The following is an 18,283-nucleotide window of genomic DNA, read 5'->3' as shown; positions in this document are numbered from 1 at the left end:
AACCTGAACACTGCATTCAGCCCATCAACTGAGATGGGAGACGCGCTGAATTAAGTCTACTGGACTCCACTGGTCCTCATACACCTAACAGCACAGTGCTTAGAGCAAAGCGTTTAAGAACACAGACAATGGAATCAGCAGATTCTAGGTGGAAACACAAGCCTTTATTACTCCCTAGCAGTACAGATTACAGTCAAAGTAAACCCGCATTTCCTTACCAGCAAAATGGAAAGAATAATGCCTATATCACAGAGGTGTAGTAAGGATGAAAATGGATGATAATTTTAAGTCGCACTAGTGCCCAGCACAAGTAATCAATGAAGGCTCCTGCCAGTGAGTCAGTTATTTTTTGCCTCTCAGGAATTACTATTGTACAAATGAGCATGGGCATTAAGCCAGAGGTCTAATTTGAGAATCATCACATGAAACAACAGCTGGACATTTACTCTTGAACTGGAAATTCTTGTTGAAACAAGATGGATTGTTAATAAATTCTGTCTATCATAGACCAACATGAAAAAATAATCTCAAATCCCTTGTTCCATGGGGACCAGTGGGACTTGTAACTAATATGTTTCTCTTTTAGCTTTGGTGGCCAGGAATTCCGGTGGCAAGTTTGTGGGCTAATCTCCAGTTGGGTTACAGAAGGACATGGTATGCATCTCTGTGCATTTAATCTACTCTGGATTTGTCACTTTACTGCCTCTAATTTGTCTTTATACCAGTTTATTTACATTTACATCCAACAATATCATCTATGTATTTCCTGTCAACCACTACTCATTCTTTACGGAAAGATTCTGTGGTGACTTATAGGGCACTCTATAAGAGCCTATATGGGCCTTCTGAGTTTATAGAATATGCCAAATCTCCCAAATGTATGAAATAACCTTAAGGTCACATTGAACTTTACATTATTTTTGAGGAAAATAAAGTTGTCAGCTGAATGTTTCTTGAGGTTCCTAACAGGTAAACTCTCACATGATTGATATCCAACAAGTACGCTAAAAATCAATTGAACTGAACTATCAAGCCATGGACAGACACTGAAGAACCTTGGATGCATATCACTAAGTGAAATTTGCCCCTCTGAAAAGGGTACATACTGTTTGATTCCAACCATGTCACATTCTGTAAAGGGAAAACAATGCATGCAGTAAGAACGTTCATGGCTGTGAAGGGTTAGCAGGAAGGACAGACAAATAGGAGGAGCACAGATGATTTCAGGGCAGTGAAACTATTCTGTAAGATATTTTAATGGTGACTAAATGGCATCATACATTTATCAAAACCCATAGAAAATAAAATGCCAAGAGAGAACCCTAATGTAAACTATGGACTTCAGGTGATAATGATGTATCAATGTTGATTCCCCAAATTGTCACAAATGTCTCACTGTGATGTAGGATGTCGGTAGTGGGGGAGGCCAAGTGTGTGAGGACAAGAGGAGATATGGGAACTCTCTGGACTTTTTGCACAATCTTGCTGAGAACCTAAAAACTGCTCTAGAAAATAGTCTATTGAAAAATCAATTCATCAAGCCTTTGAGGTGGGAATCACCAATATCCCTCAATGATCCCATTGATTTCTCTTTTTCTTTCTCTTTTGAGACAGGCTCTCTCTCTGTCACCCAGGCTGGAGGGCAGTGATGCGATCAGCTCACTGCAACCTCCATTTCCTGGGCTCAAGGGGATCCTCCCACCTCGGCTTCCCAAAGTGCTGGGACTACAGGCATGAGCTACCACTCATGCTTTATGATTTCTCATAAAGCCAAATCCCCAGTACGCCACATCTCACCGACCTGCTTGAGAATATTCTGTTCTCTCATCAGTTTCTGCCGTTCTCTGTTGGGCTTGGAGAAGACAACTTCGAGAACATCTTGACCAGAATTAGTTCCACCAGTGACGAAGTAAACCAAATCTTCTAGCAGCTTGGTTACAGACCTTAGGAGGAAAGACGCTATTAGAGACAGATGTGTTCAGTGTTCAGCAGGCTGGAAGCTTTGCCTTGGAAGCCTTCTGGACGAATGAGCCAGTTAAACAGGGGCAGACCCACACTTTCCAATTTCTTTGAAACTGACAACAGAAGCCAAGTATCAAAGAGAGTGAAAGACACAAAACATATCATTGTCCACAAAAGGATGATCACCTTTATGAAATATCAGACACAAAATTTTATCTCAGAGTAACCTCATTCCCTGACATTTAGTAATGTGGTTCTAGAGACCAACTTAGAGACAGAAAGAGAGAGTGAGGTCTTCATCACTTGATTATTATTATTATTTTGAGATGGAGTCTCACTTTGTCACCCAGGCTGAAGTGCAGTGGTATGATCTTGGCTCACTATAACCTCCGCCTCCTGGGTTCAAGCAATTCTTCTGCCTCAGCTTCCTGAGGAGCTGGGATTACAGGCATCCGCCATCATGCCTGGCTAATTTTTGTATTTTTAGTAGAGATGGGGTTTCACCATGTTAGGCAGGCTGGTCTCGAACTGCTGACCTCAAGTAATCCACCCACCTCAGCCTCCCAAAGTCCTGGGATTACAGGTGTGAGCCACTACACCTGATCTTCATAATTTTAGAGACTCAAAAAATGAATGCAAAAGTACTATTTCTTAAAAGTTACACATTGAAGCCACCCATAAATGCTAAGGCCTGCTACCCCATGTTTAGCTGTTCAGAGTCACCATTCTCTCACTCCACCCCATGGATGTCAGAAACTCTCAGTGCGGGAGGGCGGCTGTGCTGAGCATGCGGGAGTGCTCACCTCCTTTCATTCTGGGTGATGGTGCCCTTCTCTAGCTTCCCAGCAATGGAGCCCAGCACCTTGCTGGCATCATTGGCAAAGTCCAGGTCCCGAACTTCAGCAGGAGAAACCGGAACTATGGCAAATGCTTCCTTATCCTCCTTCACAGGAGAGGTGCCAATCTGAAATTCAAGGTGGTCCTTGTGAGATAATCTCTTGGATGGGAAGGATAAGACTTTAATCAAACACTACATTTACGAGACACTGGCTGATCCCAAGATACTAGAGCTATCTTGCAGTTAAAATGATATAGGAAAAAAATCTACAAGGACGTACTCCAAATGGTTAACAGTTGTTATCTCTGGAAATTGGTATTATGGGGGCCAGTGTGGCAGGAAGGAGGCATTAATATCATTTTTAACTTCATTTGTTACAGGGAGCATCCAAAATTCTCATAACTAAAGAAGATGTTTGTAAATATACAGAGAAAAAGCAAATATGGAAAATGGTAATTAATGATTCTAAGTGAGGAGCATTATAAGGATAGACACTGCACCATTATTTCAACTTTTCTATAAATCTAAAAATGTTCAGTAAAGAAGTAAAAAATTTCAATAACCTTCCCCAATGCCACAACAAAAGAAAAGTTACATGAGAGCATCCTTCCACTTGTTAAAAGAAAACCCCCATGTCTATTTACTTATACTGTATGACCCTGGAGACAGGGGGAAGGAGAAGTAGGGAGAGAAAGTAAAGGGGCTGGAGAGAACATTCATGAAATAAAAGTGTATATTGACATATAGAGAGAAACAAATAATAGAGATTGGGGGAAATCAACTAGATACTTGATGTACCTCAAGACAAAAGCAAACATTCCCCAGCCCAAATTATCCTTCAGACAGTCATGAAATGCAGTTGAAATCCAGAAAATTGCTCAACCATTATGGCAGAAGCCATGGAATAAAATTAAAAAGTTGTAGTTATTTCAAAAGCCCTGGGTTTGCTCCACTCAGGTCTCGTGGAGAGTATTCTTTTGTCACATTCAAGTTCGGCCATGACCACACTCTCGCCAAAGCAACAAATCTCCACGCTCCATACTCCCTGATCTGTCCTCAAAGGAGCCCTTTCATTAGGAAACACGAGACCAAAAGGAGACAGGCAAGTCCCAGGACTTACTTTCAGCATCACGGGCTTTTCTTCTTCCTTGTCAATAGGAATATTTGTGCTGTGAACCCAGGTATTAGTACATAGGTGTCTGAGCCGAACATAAGAGTTCCTAACAGGGAAAAAAGGAGGGTTTTAGGGAAATAAATATTGAGGTTTACTCTATAGCCCCTAGTCTAGAATATAATCTATCAAAATAGAAATAGCAAAGTGGTTTCCTACTGCATACACTGGGCAGTATACACGAAGGGGCAAATGGTCCAGGTCCAAGCCACATTCTGATGCATTTACAATAGAAAATCATTCATAACGACTCTACAGTTACTGTTATATATTATACTTCTAAATATAAGATCATACTCCATGAATGAGTGTCTCAGCATAAACAGAGCATGAGACAGAGCAACAGGAAGTATTTACGGGTATATATTAGTGCTTATAACAAGAAATAATAATACAGCAATGATTGAAATTTTCATAGGGATCAGTGAAACAATAAATGAGATCATAAAATTTCTGGAAAAAAATGAGTATTTACTAATCTTGCAGTAGGGAAAGCCTTTTGAATCATATAACAAAATATAAGATTCCTAAATTTTAAAAGTAAAAGACGGATAACTCTCATTACATAGTTTAAATTTTATATAATCTATATAGAAAAAAAAAAGAACCATCATAAACAAAGTTGAAAAAAAATCACCATAGCCTGGGAAAATAAAAGAGTAGCCCATTGCATTAAAAGGTTATTACTCTACACACAAAGGGCTGTTACAAATCAATAAGAAAAATATGAATATTGGAAGTGAAAATGGGACAAGGACACAAACGGGTAATTTAATAATGAAATACAAAGAAACATGGAAGTATAGATTCAACCTCCTTAGTATAAAAGTTACACAAGTTAAAACAATATCATTTTATTGTATCATATTCCAAAGATCTAAAACCCAGTCTCAACAAGAGCTTAGGGAAGTAAGTCCTATGTATGGTTGGTGAGAGCGTAATCAAGCAAAACTCTGAAAAGAAGTCTAGCACCTTGTAGAACACATAAAATATATCTATAATTTCATCTACCAATCCTATTTTTAGGTATTCTTCCTTCAGTGGTGATAGTACAGGTGCAAATGAGGCAAACAGATGTTCAACAAAGCATTATGTGTAACAATAAAAACTGTAAACAATCTGATATCTCAATAATGGACTAGTTAATAGAATACAAATTTATTATATTCTATTGTTACAATGTAATATTAACATATTACATATGAATACCTATATTAATATATTGTATTAATACAGTATAACAGAACAGTCCAATAATGAACCAGTTAATACAATATTAACTAGTTGATACTACTGTTATTTAAAGATGATTACAATTGACTATAACAGTTTCTTTTTTTTTTTTCCTTTGGAGACAGGGTCTCACTCTGTCACCCAGGCTGGAGTACAGTTGGCACAATCTGGGCTCACTGCAACCTCTGCCTCCCAGGCTTAGGATACTCCCACCTCAGCCTTCAAAGTAGCTGGGACTACAGGTGTGTGCCACCATGCCCGGTTAAATTTTTGCATTTTTTTTGTAGAGTCGGGGTTTTGTCATGTTGTCCAGCTGGTCTCAAACACCTGGACTCAATCAAGTGATCTGTCTGCTTCAGCCTCCCAAAGTGCTCGGATTACAGGTGTGAGGCACTGCGCCCGGCCTGATTACAACAATTATTTAAGACAATGACAACTGATATTCATTCGCTTGGAGATATGTATAAAACATACTATTCAGTTAAAAATGTTTAAAATAGCTTATGATCCCATCTATAATAAATGACACAGTCATCTCTGTGTGACCAGAGACTTGTCTAAAACTACATAAACAAAAATGTTACCAGTAGCTACCTCTGAATGGATGAAACACAACTAATACTTCACGAGGGGCCATACGTGTAATCCATAAATGACAGTGACATTTCCATTAACCAACATGGTATTGGAGAGTCAGAATTGCCCAAATAACCCTATGTGTCTTAAACATTTAAGATTTTGGGTTCTGCTACGGGACTCACTGACTTATGATATGTTGCTTAAACTCTCTGAGCCTCAGCTTCTTCATCTACAAGAAAGGGTGATAGCAATACCTATCTCTCACTGGGTTTTTTGAGAAAGATGAAATTATATAACACAAGTAGAGTACTTAGCTTTGTGTCTAGCATGCAGTCAGCGCTCAATAAGTGTCAGCCATTATTATTAATATTGTTGATTCTGTTGTTAAGAGTAAGCTTGTTTCCCTATTTATAGTCCAGTTATGTCCCCTGAAAAATGCATTCTTAAGCAACAAAACTAAAGTTAAATTTAAAAAAATAACTAAAGATTTCTGGTTGAATGTCTCAATACTTGTTAATAAAATTTACTATGCAAACAGTGAACTTCAGGTATTTTATCTTGTAGAATTTCTTTTCAATGGTTTATTCTATTTCCATTCAATTTCCTAGTTTCCTCTACTCCCTTCCTTTTTCCCCAAACCAAGAGCTCTCCCAAGGTTTGGGGAAGGAGGAAGGGAGTAGAGGGAACTAGGAAAATTGAGCTACTTGGGCTTATGGTTTGGCTTGTTTACCTAAATATAGCACTTCTCATTCAACTACTGAGAACTTATCAATGGTGAGCCATTAAAAAAATCAGTTGCCATACCGGGCAGTCAGTGCAAACCTTTCACCAAATCCTTTATAAAAATCTAAAAGAAAAGGCAGTAACGATTTGGATTCCAAGAAACCTGGTCAGGCCACCTACACCAGGCCTGATTCTTTGGGGAAAAGCAATTTTAAAATGATACCTTGGGACAAGGCTGTCACCTCCACGCAGAGTGGTGGGATCTAGCTCGAAAATGGAGGAGATGTCATTGCCTTCAGGCACAGAGACCAGGGAGTATACCATCTTTTCTTGGGCATTCCGCAACCTACTTCGAGAGGCGTCCTGATCAGGGTCCACCTGAGGAGGTAAAGTCACCAAATCAAGAACCATGCATGCCAAAGCCTTCACTTTCTACAATTATTCCACAATCCACAGGAACGGAGAAGAAAGGATCGTGAATGTCAGCAGTTGGCAGGAAAAGGACCACAGTTACAGAGCAGTCCTAAAAGATGACAACTGGCCATGCAGCCAGGGATATTTACGCTCTACCTCTTTGTGTTGCAATAAAAATGTTCCAGCCGGGCACGGTGGCTCACACCTGTAATCCCAGCACTTGGGGAGGCCAAGGCAGGTGGATCACGAGGTCTGGAGTTCAAGACCAGCCTGGCCAAGATAATGAAACCCCGTCTCTACTAAAGATACAAAAAATTAGCCCAGGCTGGCTGCAGTGGCTCAAACCTGTAATCCCAGCACTTTGGGAGGGCCAAGGCAGGCAGATCACCTCAGTTCGGGAGTTCAAGACCAGCCTGACCAATATAAACCCCGTCAATACTAAAAATACAAAAATTAGCTGGGCGTGGTGGCAGGCGCCTGTAATCCCAGCTACTTGGGAAGCTGAAACAGAAGAATCACTTGAACCTGGGCGGCAGAAGTTGCAGTGAGCTGAGATCGCGCCACCGCATTTCAGCCTAGACGACAGAGTGAGACTCTGTCTCAAAAAAAAAAAAAAAATCTTTCAAAAACGTGCAGTTACACTAAGAGATGACCGTGGAAGGAGTGCTCCAGATGATTAAAAAAAAAAAACAAAAAAAAAACTCTAGGTACATCCATCCGCAGGAGCTAGGGGAGAGGGGATGTTGAGGAAACTCATCCTGCAGATTTGGTTGTGGGCAGCTGGATTCATCTACAGTGATAATTGTCTACTCACAATATGATATAGCAACTTCCCAGGAGAAAAACTAAAACAAAATAAACCTGAATCCAAGTGTTCGTAAGCAGCAACCCCAACGCAGCCAAAAGAAATATTTGAGAAGTCAGCGTAGCCCTGAAAAAGATGTCCAGCATTAATTGAGAGGGCTGCTGATGACAGGTCAGGGAAGACGGGCCTCTCCTGAGACATCAGGGATTTGGCTGAGAGCGAAGAAAATCTCTGATAGCGAAGGCTGAGGAACAATGATGAAAACTTTCCTGAGAAACTAAAAAAGCATATTCTAGGCTCCAAAGCCCATCTGCCTACAGATATTCAAGGAGGGGGCTTAGACAAGGAGTCTGCTCAGAAGAGACTGGCCAGCTCGCGCTCAGCCCGGCAACTCTACATCGCGTGATTTTCCATGTCTAACATCCTTGCAGGATGACAGCCTCCACCTGCATCTATTGAGGAAGCACATTTTCTTTGTCACTACAGCCTGCTTTTCTTAGGCTGAAGCTCTGCCCCCTTTCCAGACAGAGAGGAAGGAGACTTCACCAGGAAAACAAAAGAATCAAGAAACGGAAATCAAATCAAAGGCAAAGGAGAGAGCCTGGGAGAATCTAACTCTTACGGGGCCTGAAATGCAGGAGCACAGGGCAATAGCCTGTTAGTTCAGCTGCGGCCCCCAACCTCTATGTGTGTTTTTTTAAAAAAGGTTCTTTTAATATCCAAAACCTGTATCTCTTCCCTTTCTCACAATTTCTCCTCTAATTGCTCATCCCTTTACTTGCACAAACCCCAGACCCTTTATTCTATCTACGCTAAAGGAAGAATTACCTGGACAGTGACAGAACACTTCTACAACTGCAGTTTAGGAGTAAGAACTTTGAGCAACATTTGTTCTCTCCGAACCATCTGGCATATTACTCCACATGCCACTTTCAAAATAAACTCTGACCTGGCTATGGTTTGAGACACAGGACTCAGCTACAGGCTGGCAGTTAAGTTTCAGAGACCTGTGGGAGTTGAGAGGAAAATCACAATTGCATTACGTCCACTGTGTCTGGAAAAGTGACTGAGAGGCAGCGTCCTGACATCCTTTCATTGTGCAGTCGGCGCTTGCCACCTAGTGGAAAGAAAGGCACATGTGCAGAAGCCTGGCAGAGGAGCGGGAGCCTCTGGTGGTCCTTTTTCTCCCTCTGGCACCAAGCAAGTGTCTTCAGGGTGCTGAATTTAGAAGGACGAGCACAACAAAGCCAAGTGAGGTCCGAGGCAAAAACCACAGGCACTGAAGCTGTTCTTAGGGAAACCAATCAACTCAAAAAAATTCGAGGTTTTCCATCCAAGTTTCCAAACCAAGAAGAGTATGAGGGGGGTGGGGTCCTCCCAGTACTAACACCTTGCCACCGGGCAGATCTGTGCTGTTGGCCGTGTGGGCGTCGGGTAAGATCCCCTCTCCATGCACCCCTCCTCTGCAAGCAGCCCACCCCCAATCAACATCGAAGTAGCCAGAGTGATGCAGTCTAGATCTGCACCCAAGGCTGCTGGCACATCCGCCTCTCTGACGCCAAAAAGCACGAAAACGTCAAAAGACCACTGAACTCTGAGGGAGCCTGAGATGGGGGATGAGTCTGGACCACTCTCAACGGCTGCTTCCTCCTCTGTACCAGGAAGATCCTAAAACCCACCCTAACTCCTTTTATACACTGCTGTGCAGCCCAGACAACCTGGTGGACGCAAAGGCACTAAAAATGCTAATGATCTGGGAGAACCTGAAAAATGCCACTTGTATAGATGAAGGAATTGAGGCTCAGAGAGGGCAAGTAACTTGTCCAAGGTCACACAGCAGCTCATAAATGGTAGGTCTGGTATTTAAACTGCACTCTTCCTCCTGCACCATAAATGCCAGTCTTCCCTCCTGTACCAGGAGGCCAGGAGAGCAGCCCTCTACCCGCCAGAGCACAAAGTTCACTTGGACATCAGCGCTCACCGAAAGGATCCACAGCTTGCCTAATCTCAGAGGTAAGATTTCCTCCATGTCACCACAGACGGCAGCATGGAGACCACCAGATGTTGGCCACACAGAGGCAGCTCCTTCTCTTGAAATAAAGAAGGTGCAAGGACAAGAACCATCCTGTGAAACATGACGTCCCTCCCAGTCCAAGTGTTCAAACAATAACAACATGAACATGATGCAGAGAAGTTTTACCACAGAGTTCCTCATGCACTGACAGAGGGTTAAACTGGGTCAGGGTTTTCCAAGCCATATTAACTGTGGAAGCAAAGCTTTCAAAATGGACTCTAGAAATAGGGGTGACAAGGATGAAAAAAAGGAAGGTGAGCCTCGGGTACCCCAGTAAGGAGCACAAAAGGGAGGAGAGGCTCCCCAGCAAATCCACAAACCCACAGCAGGAAGGCCTCAGTCAGAGTGTCTTTCAAAGCCAACATTTCACCAAGACATAACTAGAAGGATAACCATAACAGCAGAATTCACAACACTTTCCAAGGACAATTACAATTTGAATTCCCTTCACCCAATTCCCTTCATTAAAGTGCCTTAAGAAAATCCCTCCATTTCTTTTTCAAAATCTTGCCAAAAAAAGAAAGAAACACCCTCAATACCACCTTCCATGCCCACTGCTGAGATCATCGTGTAGACACACATGTCAGACACAGGAGCAACTGTTTCAATCCTAGACCAGAATCAAGCACTCCACAAGAAAACTGTCTTACTTATACCCACCCTTTCCATGTAACACAACCGCTGCCTTCTTCAACCCATAAATGTGGACACCTGAAGTCCAAAGTGTCTACGTATCAGCATTACTTGGCGATATGGTCTCCAGAGAAAGAGCCATTTTGCACTTAAAATTCTAAACCATCCTATACACTAAAGCCTATTTCTGACCTTGCAGAAATCAAGGACGGATTAGCTGAGTATCTAATCACACGCCAGGTGCACTAAGCCTCATGTGTTACCTCCATAGCCTCAGTAACACTATCCACCTCACATACTTACTCCCTGAAAAAGCTGTGTGAGTCATGGATTGAGGTCAACAGCAATAAGGCAATTGGTTTGAAAAGACCATCTTCCATATGAGGTGTCACTGTCTCCAACCCTAGGAGTCTTCCAAGTGATACCATGAACTTCTCCAACTTAGAAATGGAGACCCCGTTACTACACATGGAAATACCATCATCAACAACAGTCCCTGGACCAATCGAGACACAAAGGACTATGGTCCCTCTCAAGGGAAGCACAGAACATGATCGTGTTTTAAGGGAGCCTAAGGTTCCTCCTTCCCCAGCACTCCGTGACCACAGTGACAGTTTCTTAAATGGAGCTCCAGATCATTTGGCCGCACCCTACCAGATGAAGACAAGAAGGCTCTTGTCCATACTTACTGAGGGCTGAAACTCCAGGCATTCTTCCTCAAAGTCAGGGTCTACCTGATGAAAAAGAATCATTAGGAAATTAAAACATCCATTGCTTTCTTAAGGACTGGGCCCCACTTGCAGGAGACTTCAAGGCCTGCAAACATCCTTGAACAGCTAAGAACTTGTCCATTCCCTCTGTTCACAAAACCAGCATGCCACGACAATGATACAGGTCACATGGGTACAGCACACATGGAACATCCACCAGTCACCAAGAGACGGCTCTCAAGTATAGACAGAGGAAGACAATGAATTCACTGGCAAAGCAATAGTTAAAAGCCTGAGATGAATAAAAGATCAATACACAGTCACTGATAATCCTATTTTTAGCTAAAAATAAAAAATGTAGGCCTCCAGCAAGAGCTACATTAGCTTCAAAACATGACAGATAATGCCACCACCATTAGTCTTCAGGAAACCACATAAATCATCTCTCACAGCTGATTAGCTGGGTCTGTAATTCCCTATGGCTTTATCTCAAATTTGAACTTGGAGTTCTTGATCTTCAGTTCTTAAATATATCAAAATCATCACTTCATGTATTAGGCACCGTGGGGGGCTGAGCACACTTAAGAGCCAGCCTTCCTCGGGTCAGGCACAGGAGCAGTGCTGACACCCACCATCACCTTGGAAATCTCTCAGTAGTCTCATGGGTGGTCCCAGACAACAGTGGGGGTCTTTTGATGCACGACTAGAATCTGATAGAAATATGCATCATACATCTCCCAGCAGATCAGAGTAAAGCTCGACATGTCACACAGTAGGATGGCTGCTTCATTTGATACAAAAATTAAAAGGTAAATTCCTCCTGTCCTTCAGCATTGAGTCTTTCGTCTCCTCAAAAACTCTTCACAGACATTTTTTTTGAGACAGAGTCTCATTCTGTCACCCAAGCTGGACTGCAGTGGTGCGATCTCGGGTCACTGCAACCTCTGCCTCCCGTGTTCAAGCGATTCTCCTGCTTCACCCTCCCAAGTAGCTGGGACTACAGGCGTGCACCACCACACCTGGCTAATTTTTGTAGAGACGGGGTTTCACCATTTTGGCCAGGCTGATATTGAACTCCTCAGCCTCCCAAAGTGCTGGGATTATAGGTGTGAGCCACTGTGCCTGGCCCCTTCACAGACATTTAAGGTAAAGTTAATTTCCGTGATTTTTGACATTCCTACAAGTAAAAGATAAGCCACTGTCTATTCCACTAATGCTCTGAGTAGCCAAATTTCTTTATAAGATTATCTAATTCCTTATACGTCTTAGTGCTTCCGGTTCCACATATCATGTTTCTGCTGCAGCCTCAGTCGCTCATGCTAGGTGTGGGGCTGGTAGACAAGACGTGGGGAGGGTCGTATATAAAAGCGAAATGGAAAATAATACCGAAAACCTAGATCGGCATGATCTTCTAACTTACTTTCTCCCCACATCTTGATCAGCATCCCTGTCACCTACCAAAATGTGGTAATCATTTTTGAGTCTTCTAGGAAAATGAATCAGAAGGAAACAGAAAAACAGGAGGAAAAGCAAGGTGACTGAGTGTATTTCCCTAAGCCTTTTACAACACGACGGCTACAGGCGAATGAGGAAAGGCGGTGAGGTGCGTCAGCCTTGAAAGAGAAAACCACAGGAGCTGCTACTTACCTCTGCTGCCAAGTAATGCCCCGTGGCCAGATGCTTGAAACGGAAAAGGCTGTTCCAATACCCTGCTCCGCCCCGACATGGGTCATGCTGGACCACCTGCAAGAATGATCAACAGGAGTCAATGAAATGTCAACCTACACTAGGAAGACATTAAATCGGAGGTATCACAAGTCATAGTTCAGGAGGGATGTTTATAAGCTAGAAAAAGAAAATCAGCATCTTCAACAAACCCATTGCCAGTGTCACGTGTAGCATCCAAACTGAAAAGTAAGCAGTGTCTCTCCAAAGAAGGCATCGAGTCTCCTAGTTAACATACAATGGTTGGAATAAAAACTTCAGTGGTTTTCAGGTTATTTGCCTTAGCCATAATGAAGTAGCAGATTCTGAAATTTACCTACCAAAAGCACAGCCAATAAAAAGGACTTTCGTGGAGAACTGTCAAAGCAATCTACGCATGTACTCATGTGCTAGAACACACACGCAGGCCTGTGCTCTGAAATGTGAAACTCAGAGCCGGGGCCAATGTATCAGAAAAATAAATGTCACATCAGCTTCTGGCCATGACAGAGTTAACTAGCAGTGGTAGTTGGTGCCATAAACAATTAGACACTGCAGAGAATAGATGAAATTGCCATAGACAACTAGAAAACTGGATAAAATATCCCAAACAACTGTGTTCACATGTTGGACAACTGGTGGTACACAATGGTGATCTCTGAGAATAGGGAAACAAACAAGGCCAGCTTGGCTATTGCTTTGATTTTCTACCTGAGGGTCCTCTCTGGATGGCAGCATAGGGAGGAAGAATCCAAGCTAAGGGCATGAAGCTCATGGAGTTAAGGAGACAGATCAAAGTTTAGGGAGACTGAGGCAGCTAGAATTTGTGGGGATGGGGTACTAATGCATACAGAACTACACACAGAAAAAGCTCTGGAAGTCTGCACAGGAGGCTCCCTTGAGTTTTGGGCTGAACATCAGACTGCATATGCATAAGGCAAGACCCTATGAAGCCAAATGAAGAAAAACAAGGTGTCTGAAAGCTGAACTTTCCCAGAGCGCACACAGGGCTGGGAGGAGTCCTGATTCTGGAAAGCCAAAGCTGAGGGATCATGTGGAACACCCTGTGCGTTAGTAGACACATCAAAGGGGTCCCATCTTGGAAGGGGAGTTAACCTAGCCCCAAAATTAACTCTACACAACACCTGGCTGAATAAAGCTTGAAAATAAGCCTTCAAAGGAGCAAAGGGATCCACAGGTCACTTTAGTGTACAACAAAAGAAAATTCAGTACTCTTTAAAGAACAACAGACTCCACATACTCAACAAACTTGTATTACAATGTTCAGTAAATAAAGGACTAGACAAAGAATCAGAAAAACGTGACCCATGAACGCAGGACCTGTCAGACAATATCAAATGACCCAGCACATGTCTGCGTGGGTTGGTCAGGGCAGGAGAAATATTTGAATCATAAACATAATGACTCAAAGTTTTCCCATTTGACACATACCCATAGATTCAAGAAACTCAATGAACTCCAGCAAGGTAAACACACAGACACAGACAGACGCGCGCACACACACACACACACACACACACACACACACACACACTAAGGCATATCATAATCAGATTAATGTAAACTAGAAATAAAAAAGAAAAATCTTTACAGCAGCTGAGGTTGGGGTAGGATGCATGGCAGAGACACTATATACAAGGAACATTTTTTTAACCCATCGAATAATCACAAATGATGCAAGCCAAAAGACAATGGATCAAAATCTTTAAAGTAAAAAACTATCTACCTAGAATTCTATATCCAACAAAAAGTCCTTCAAAATGAAGGCCACATGGAGAACTGGGACGCTGACACACTGCTGGTGAGAATAAAAAATGGTGCAGCCACTCACTGTGGAAGGCATTCTGGCAGTTCCTCAGAAGGTCAAAAATAGAATTCCTACATGACCCAGAAGTCTGCTCCCAAGAACCTTGAGAACATATATCCACATAAAAAGTTGCATATGAATGTTCATAGCAGCAGATGACTTATTCACAGGAGCCAAAATGTGAAAACAATCCAAATGCTATTAAATGATAAATGGGTAAATAAAATATGATACATCCATACAATGGAATATTACTTGGCAATAAAAAGAAATGAAGTACTGATACATGTGGCAATATGAATACACTTTCAACATGTTATCTGGTATGGTCTAAATGTGTGTGTCCTCTCATTATTCATAGGTTGAAACCTACCCCATAAGGTTATAGTATTAGGAGATCGTTTACGTTATACTTCACCTTTGGGAGGTGATTAGGTCATGAGGCCGAGTCTTGATGAATAAGAACACTGCCCTTATAAAACAGACCCCAGAAAGTCCCCTCTCTTTCTGCCATGTGAGGACACAGCAGATGAACCAGGAAGAGTGCCCTCACCAGACACTGAATCTGCCAGTGCCTTGATCTTAGATTTCCAGCCTCCAGAACTGTAAGAAATACATTTCTGATATTTATAAGCAACCCAGTTTATGATATTTTATAACAGCAGCCTGATTTGGACTCAGACATCATCCTAGGTGAAAGAAGTCAGATATGAAGGACCATATATGATAGGATTCTGTTTATATGAAACATTCAGCACTGGCAAATCTACAGAGATAGGAAGTAGATTAGCTACCAAGCGCAGGAGAATGGGAGGATATTGAAGGGGAAATAGGGAATGACTGCTAATGAGCATAGTATTTGTTTGGGGGTGATCAATAAGCTACAGACATATAATGTAAACCCTGGCTCATTACTACAAATATAAAATACATGGTGTTGTCTTCCCTCTTTTATTTTGAGGGGCACTTGACTTTCCAGAATCCATTTTAAAAAATGAGAGAAAGAACTATTCAACGTCTTCCTATGAAATTCAGGAGAACAAGGTGGAAAATTGTTTATAAAATGGTATCAACTATGCAAAAATATCCTGTTCATAGAAAAACAGCTCAATGGAAGTAGGCACATTAAATCAGTGAAACAACACTTCACTTCTTCCCTTGTTTTCTTGATTTTCTATGTTTCCTTAGTTTGCATTATTACTTTAAACTAACTCTGAAAGATGAGAAAGTCTCCATTTTTTTTTGTACCAGTATCCAAATTACACATGAGAAGTGGTTCTGAGAGACTGTTCTGAATGTAAAAAACTCTGTGGTGGGGACCATGGGGCATCAATCTTCAATGACAAAGTTCAAGACCAAATTCTGCCTCTCAAGCAATTTTGTTTTTTGCAGGTTTTTCTTTTGCAAACAACAAGTTTTATTTCAGAAACTGAGTTCACCATTTACAAATACACTAAAGCACAGTCAATGCAAATTTAGAGTAAGCATATGTACAGTATTGTAACAAAACAACTTTTCTTTTCGGAGACAGGGTCTCGCTCTGTCACCCAAGCTGGAAAGCAGTGGTGCAATCTTGGCTCACTGCAACCTCCGCCTCCCGGGTTCAAGTGATTCTCGTGCCTCAGCCTCCCGAGTAGCTGGGATTATAGACATGTGCCATCATGCCTGGCTAATTTTTGTATTTTTAGTAGAGACAGGGTTTCACCATGTTGACCAGGTTGGTCTTGAATTCCTGACCTTCAGTGAACCGCCCACCTCGGCCTCCCAAAGTGCTGGGATTACAGGCATGAGCCATCGCACCTGGCCAAAACAATTTTTCTAAAAGGTCATAGGCAAATGAGTGATCTGTTTTACCCAGCGTATTTAATTAGCTTAAAATGAGAAAATGAACCTTTTTATAGATGTTAAAGCAAAAACTCTGAAGACATAATTGTTAAAAGAATCTGACAACTGATATTTCATTCTGACGTCTCTCAAGGAGTTTATAATCTAGTAGGATTGACAGGTCCCTGTGTAGACACATAGAGTAACTAAAGGGCAAATGCATGTAGAGAGGAGGAAGAAAGGGGAAAATGGATAGAGGGTGGGAATTAACAAAAACTTTATATAGATTCCTTTTTATCATAACTGTGGAAACTTTTCTATACAATGCCCAAGATGAACTTGATCCTTTTTTTTTTTGAGACAGAGTTTCACTCTTGTTGCCCAGGCTGGAGTGCAATGGTGCACTCTCGGCTTACCACAACCTCCGCCTCCTGGATTCAAGTGATTCTCCTGCCTCAGCCTCCCGAGTAGCTGGGATTACAGGCATGTGCCACCACGCTTGGCTAATTTTGTATTTTTTAGTAGAGACAGGGTTTCTCCATGTTGGTCAGGCTGGTTTCAAACTCCCGACCTCAGGTGATCCACCCACCTTGGCCTCCCAAAGTGCTGGGATTACAGGCATGAGCCACCATGTCCGGCTGAACTTGATTCTTACAACATCCATGTTAAAAGAGTGGTAAGACAATTTTTTTAAATGGGCAAACTATCTGAACAAACATTTCACCAGAGAAGCTACACAGATGCCAAATAAGCACATGAGAAAAATGCTCAACATCGTTAACCAAACCCACAATGAAATTTCACTACACACCTACTAAATCAAACAGGGGATGCAAATCCAACCCACATTGAAATTTCACTATGTACCTACTAGAACGAGTAACATTGAAAAGACTGACTATACCAAGTGTTGGTAAGGATATGGAAGAACTAGAACTCTCACACATTACTTGTGGGAATGTAAAATGGTCCAATCACTTTGGAGAACAGTTTAGCAATTTCTTATAAAGTTGAATATATACCATGCCATACCATACCATGCCATACCATACCATACCATGGCTACCATATGATCCAGCCAATCCACTGCTAGGTATTTAATTCAGAGAAATGAAGAAAAGTTACATCCATACAGAAACTTGTGTACAAATATCCCTAGAAGCTTTATTTGAAATAGCCAGAAGTTGGGAACAACTCAAATGTCCATCAGCAGGTGAATAGATTAGCAAATTGTGGTGTATCCATATGATGGAGTATTATGCAGTAATATAAAGGAACAAATTAATCTGATACATGCAAGAATATATACGAATCTCAAAATAATTATACTGAGTGAAAAAAAAACAGAACATAAAGACTGTATACTGTATGACTCCATTTATACAAAGTTCAAGAACAGGCAATAGAAGTCTCCAGGAGGAAAAAGGAAACATTGCCTAGAAAGAGAGGCTCAAGGGACCTTCTGGGTGCTGCTATCATTCTATTTCTTGTTCTAGGTGCTGGTTACATGGCTGAACGTATACGTAAAAATTCATTGAGTTGTATACTCTTGACTTGGGCACTTTACTATACTATACATAGGCTAGACCTCAGTAGCAACATGAAACAATTGAAGCTAGGGAGGAGGAAAAGAGAACGCAAGCAGAGACAGAAAAATTTATCTATTCAAATTAGAAATTTGAATTAGAATTCTAATTCATGCTGCAATTACACAGAAAGGAAGGCTTGAGGTGAAGAAAGAGCTCCATGTTAGTTGAAGCTCTCATTGCCTCTTTCACCAAGCAT

The 18,283-nt window shown here is 41.7% G+C and overlaps 1 protein-coding gene across 4 annotated transcripts in view; it reads right to left on the bottom strand.

Moving 5' to 3' along the window:
* Window positions 1–18,283, bottom strand: part of ITPR1 (inositol 1,4,5-trisphosphate receptor type 1) — a 354,159-nt gene that overhangs the window by 182,499 nt on the left and 153,377 nt on the right. For 2 of the 4 annotated variants that reach the window (NM_001378452.1, NM_001099952.4), the window contains exons 11-16: window positions 12,790–12,885; window positions 11,122–11,166; window positions 6,730–6,884; window positions 3,921–4,020; window positions 2,766–2,926; window positions 1,802–1,943 (exon numbers count right to left, since the gene is read on the bottom strand). In NM_001378452.1, coding sequence (NP_001365381.1) covers window positions 1,802–1,943; window positions 2,766–2,926; window positions 3,921–4,020; window positions 6,730–6,884; window positions 11,122–11,166; window positions 12,790–12,885 — 699 coding nt within the window. 4 annotated transcript variants of the gene reach the window in all.

The sequence above is a fragment of the Homo sapiens genome, chromosome 3 (genome assembly GCF_000001405.40).
Source record: "Homo sapiens chromosome 3, GRCh38.p14 Primary Assembly".
NCBI lineage: Eukaryota > Metazoa > Chordata > Mammalia > Primates > Hominidae > Homo > Homo sapiens.
The sequence above is the reverse complement of the archived record's forward strand: the minus strand, read 5'-3'. Positions and strand labels throughout refer to the sequence as shown.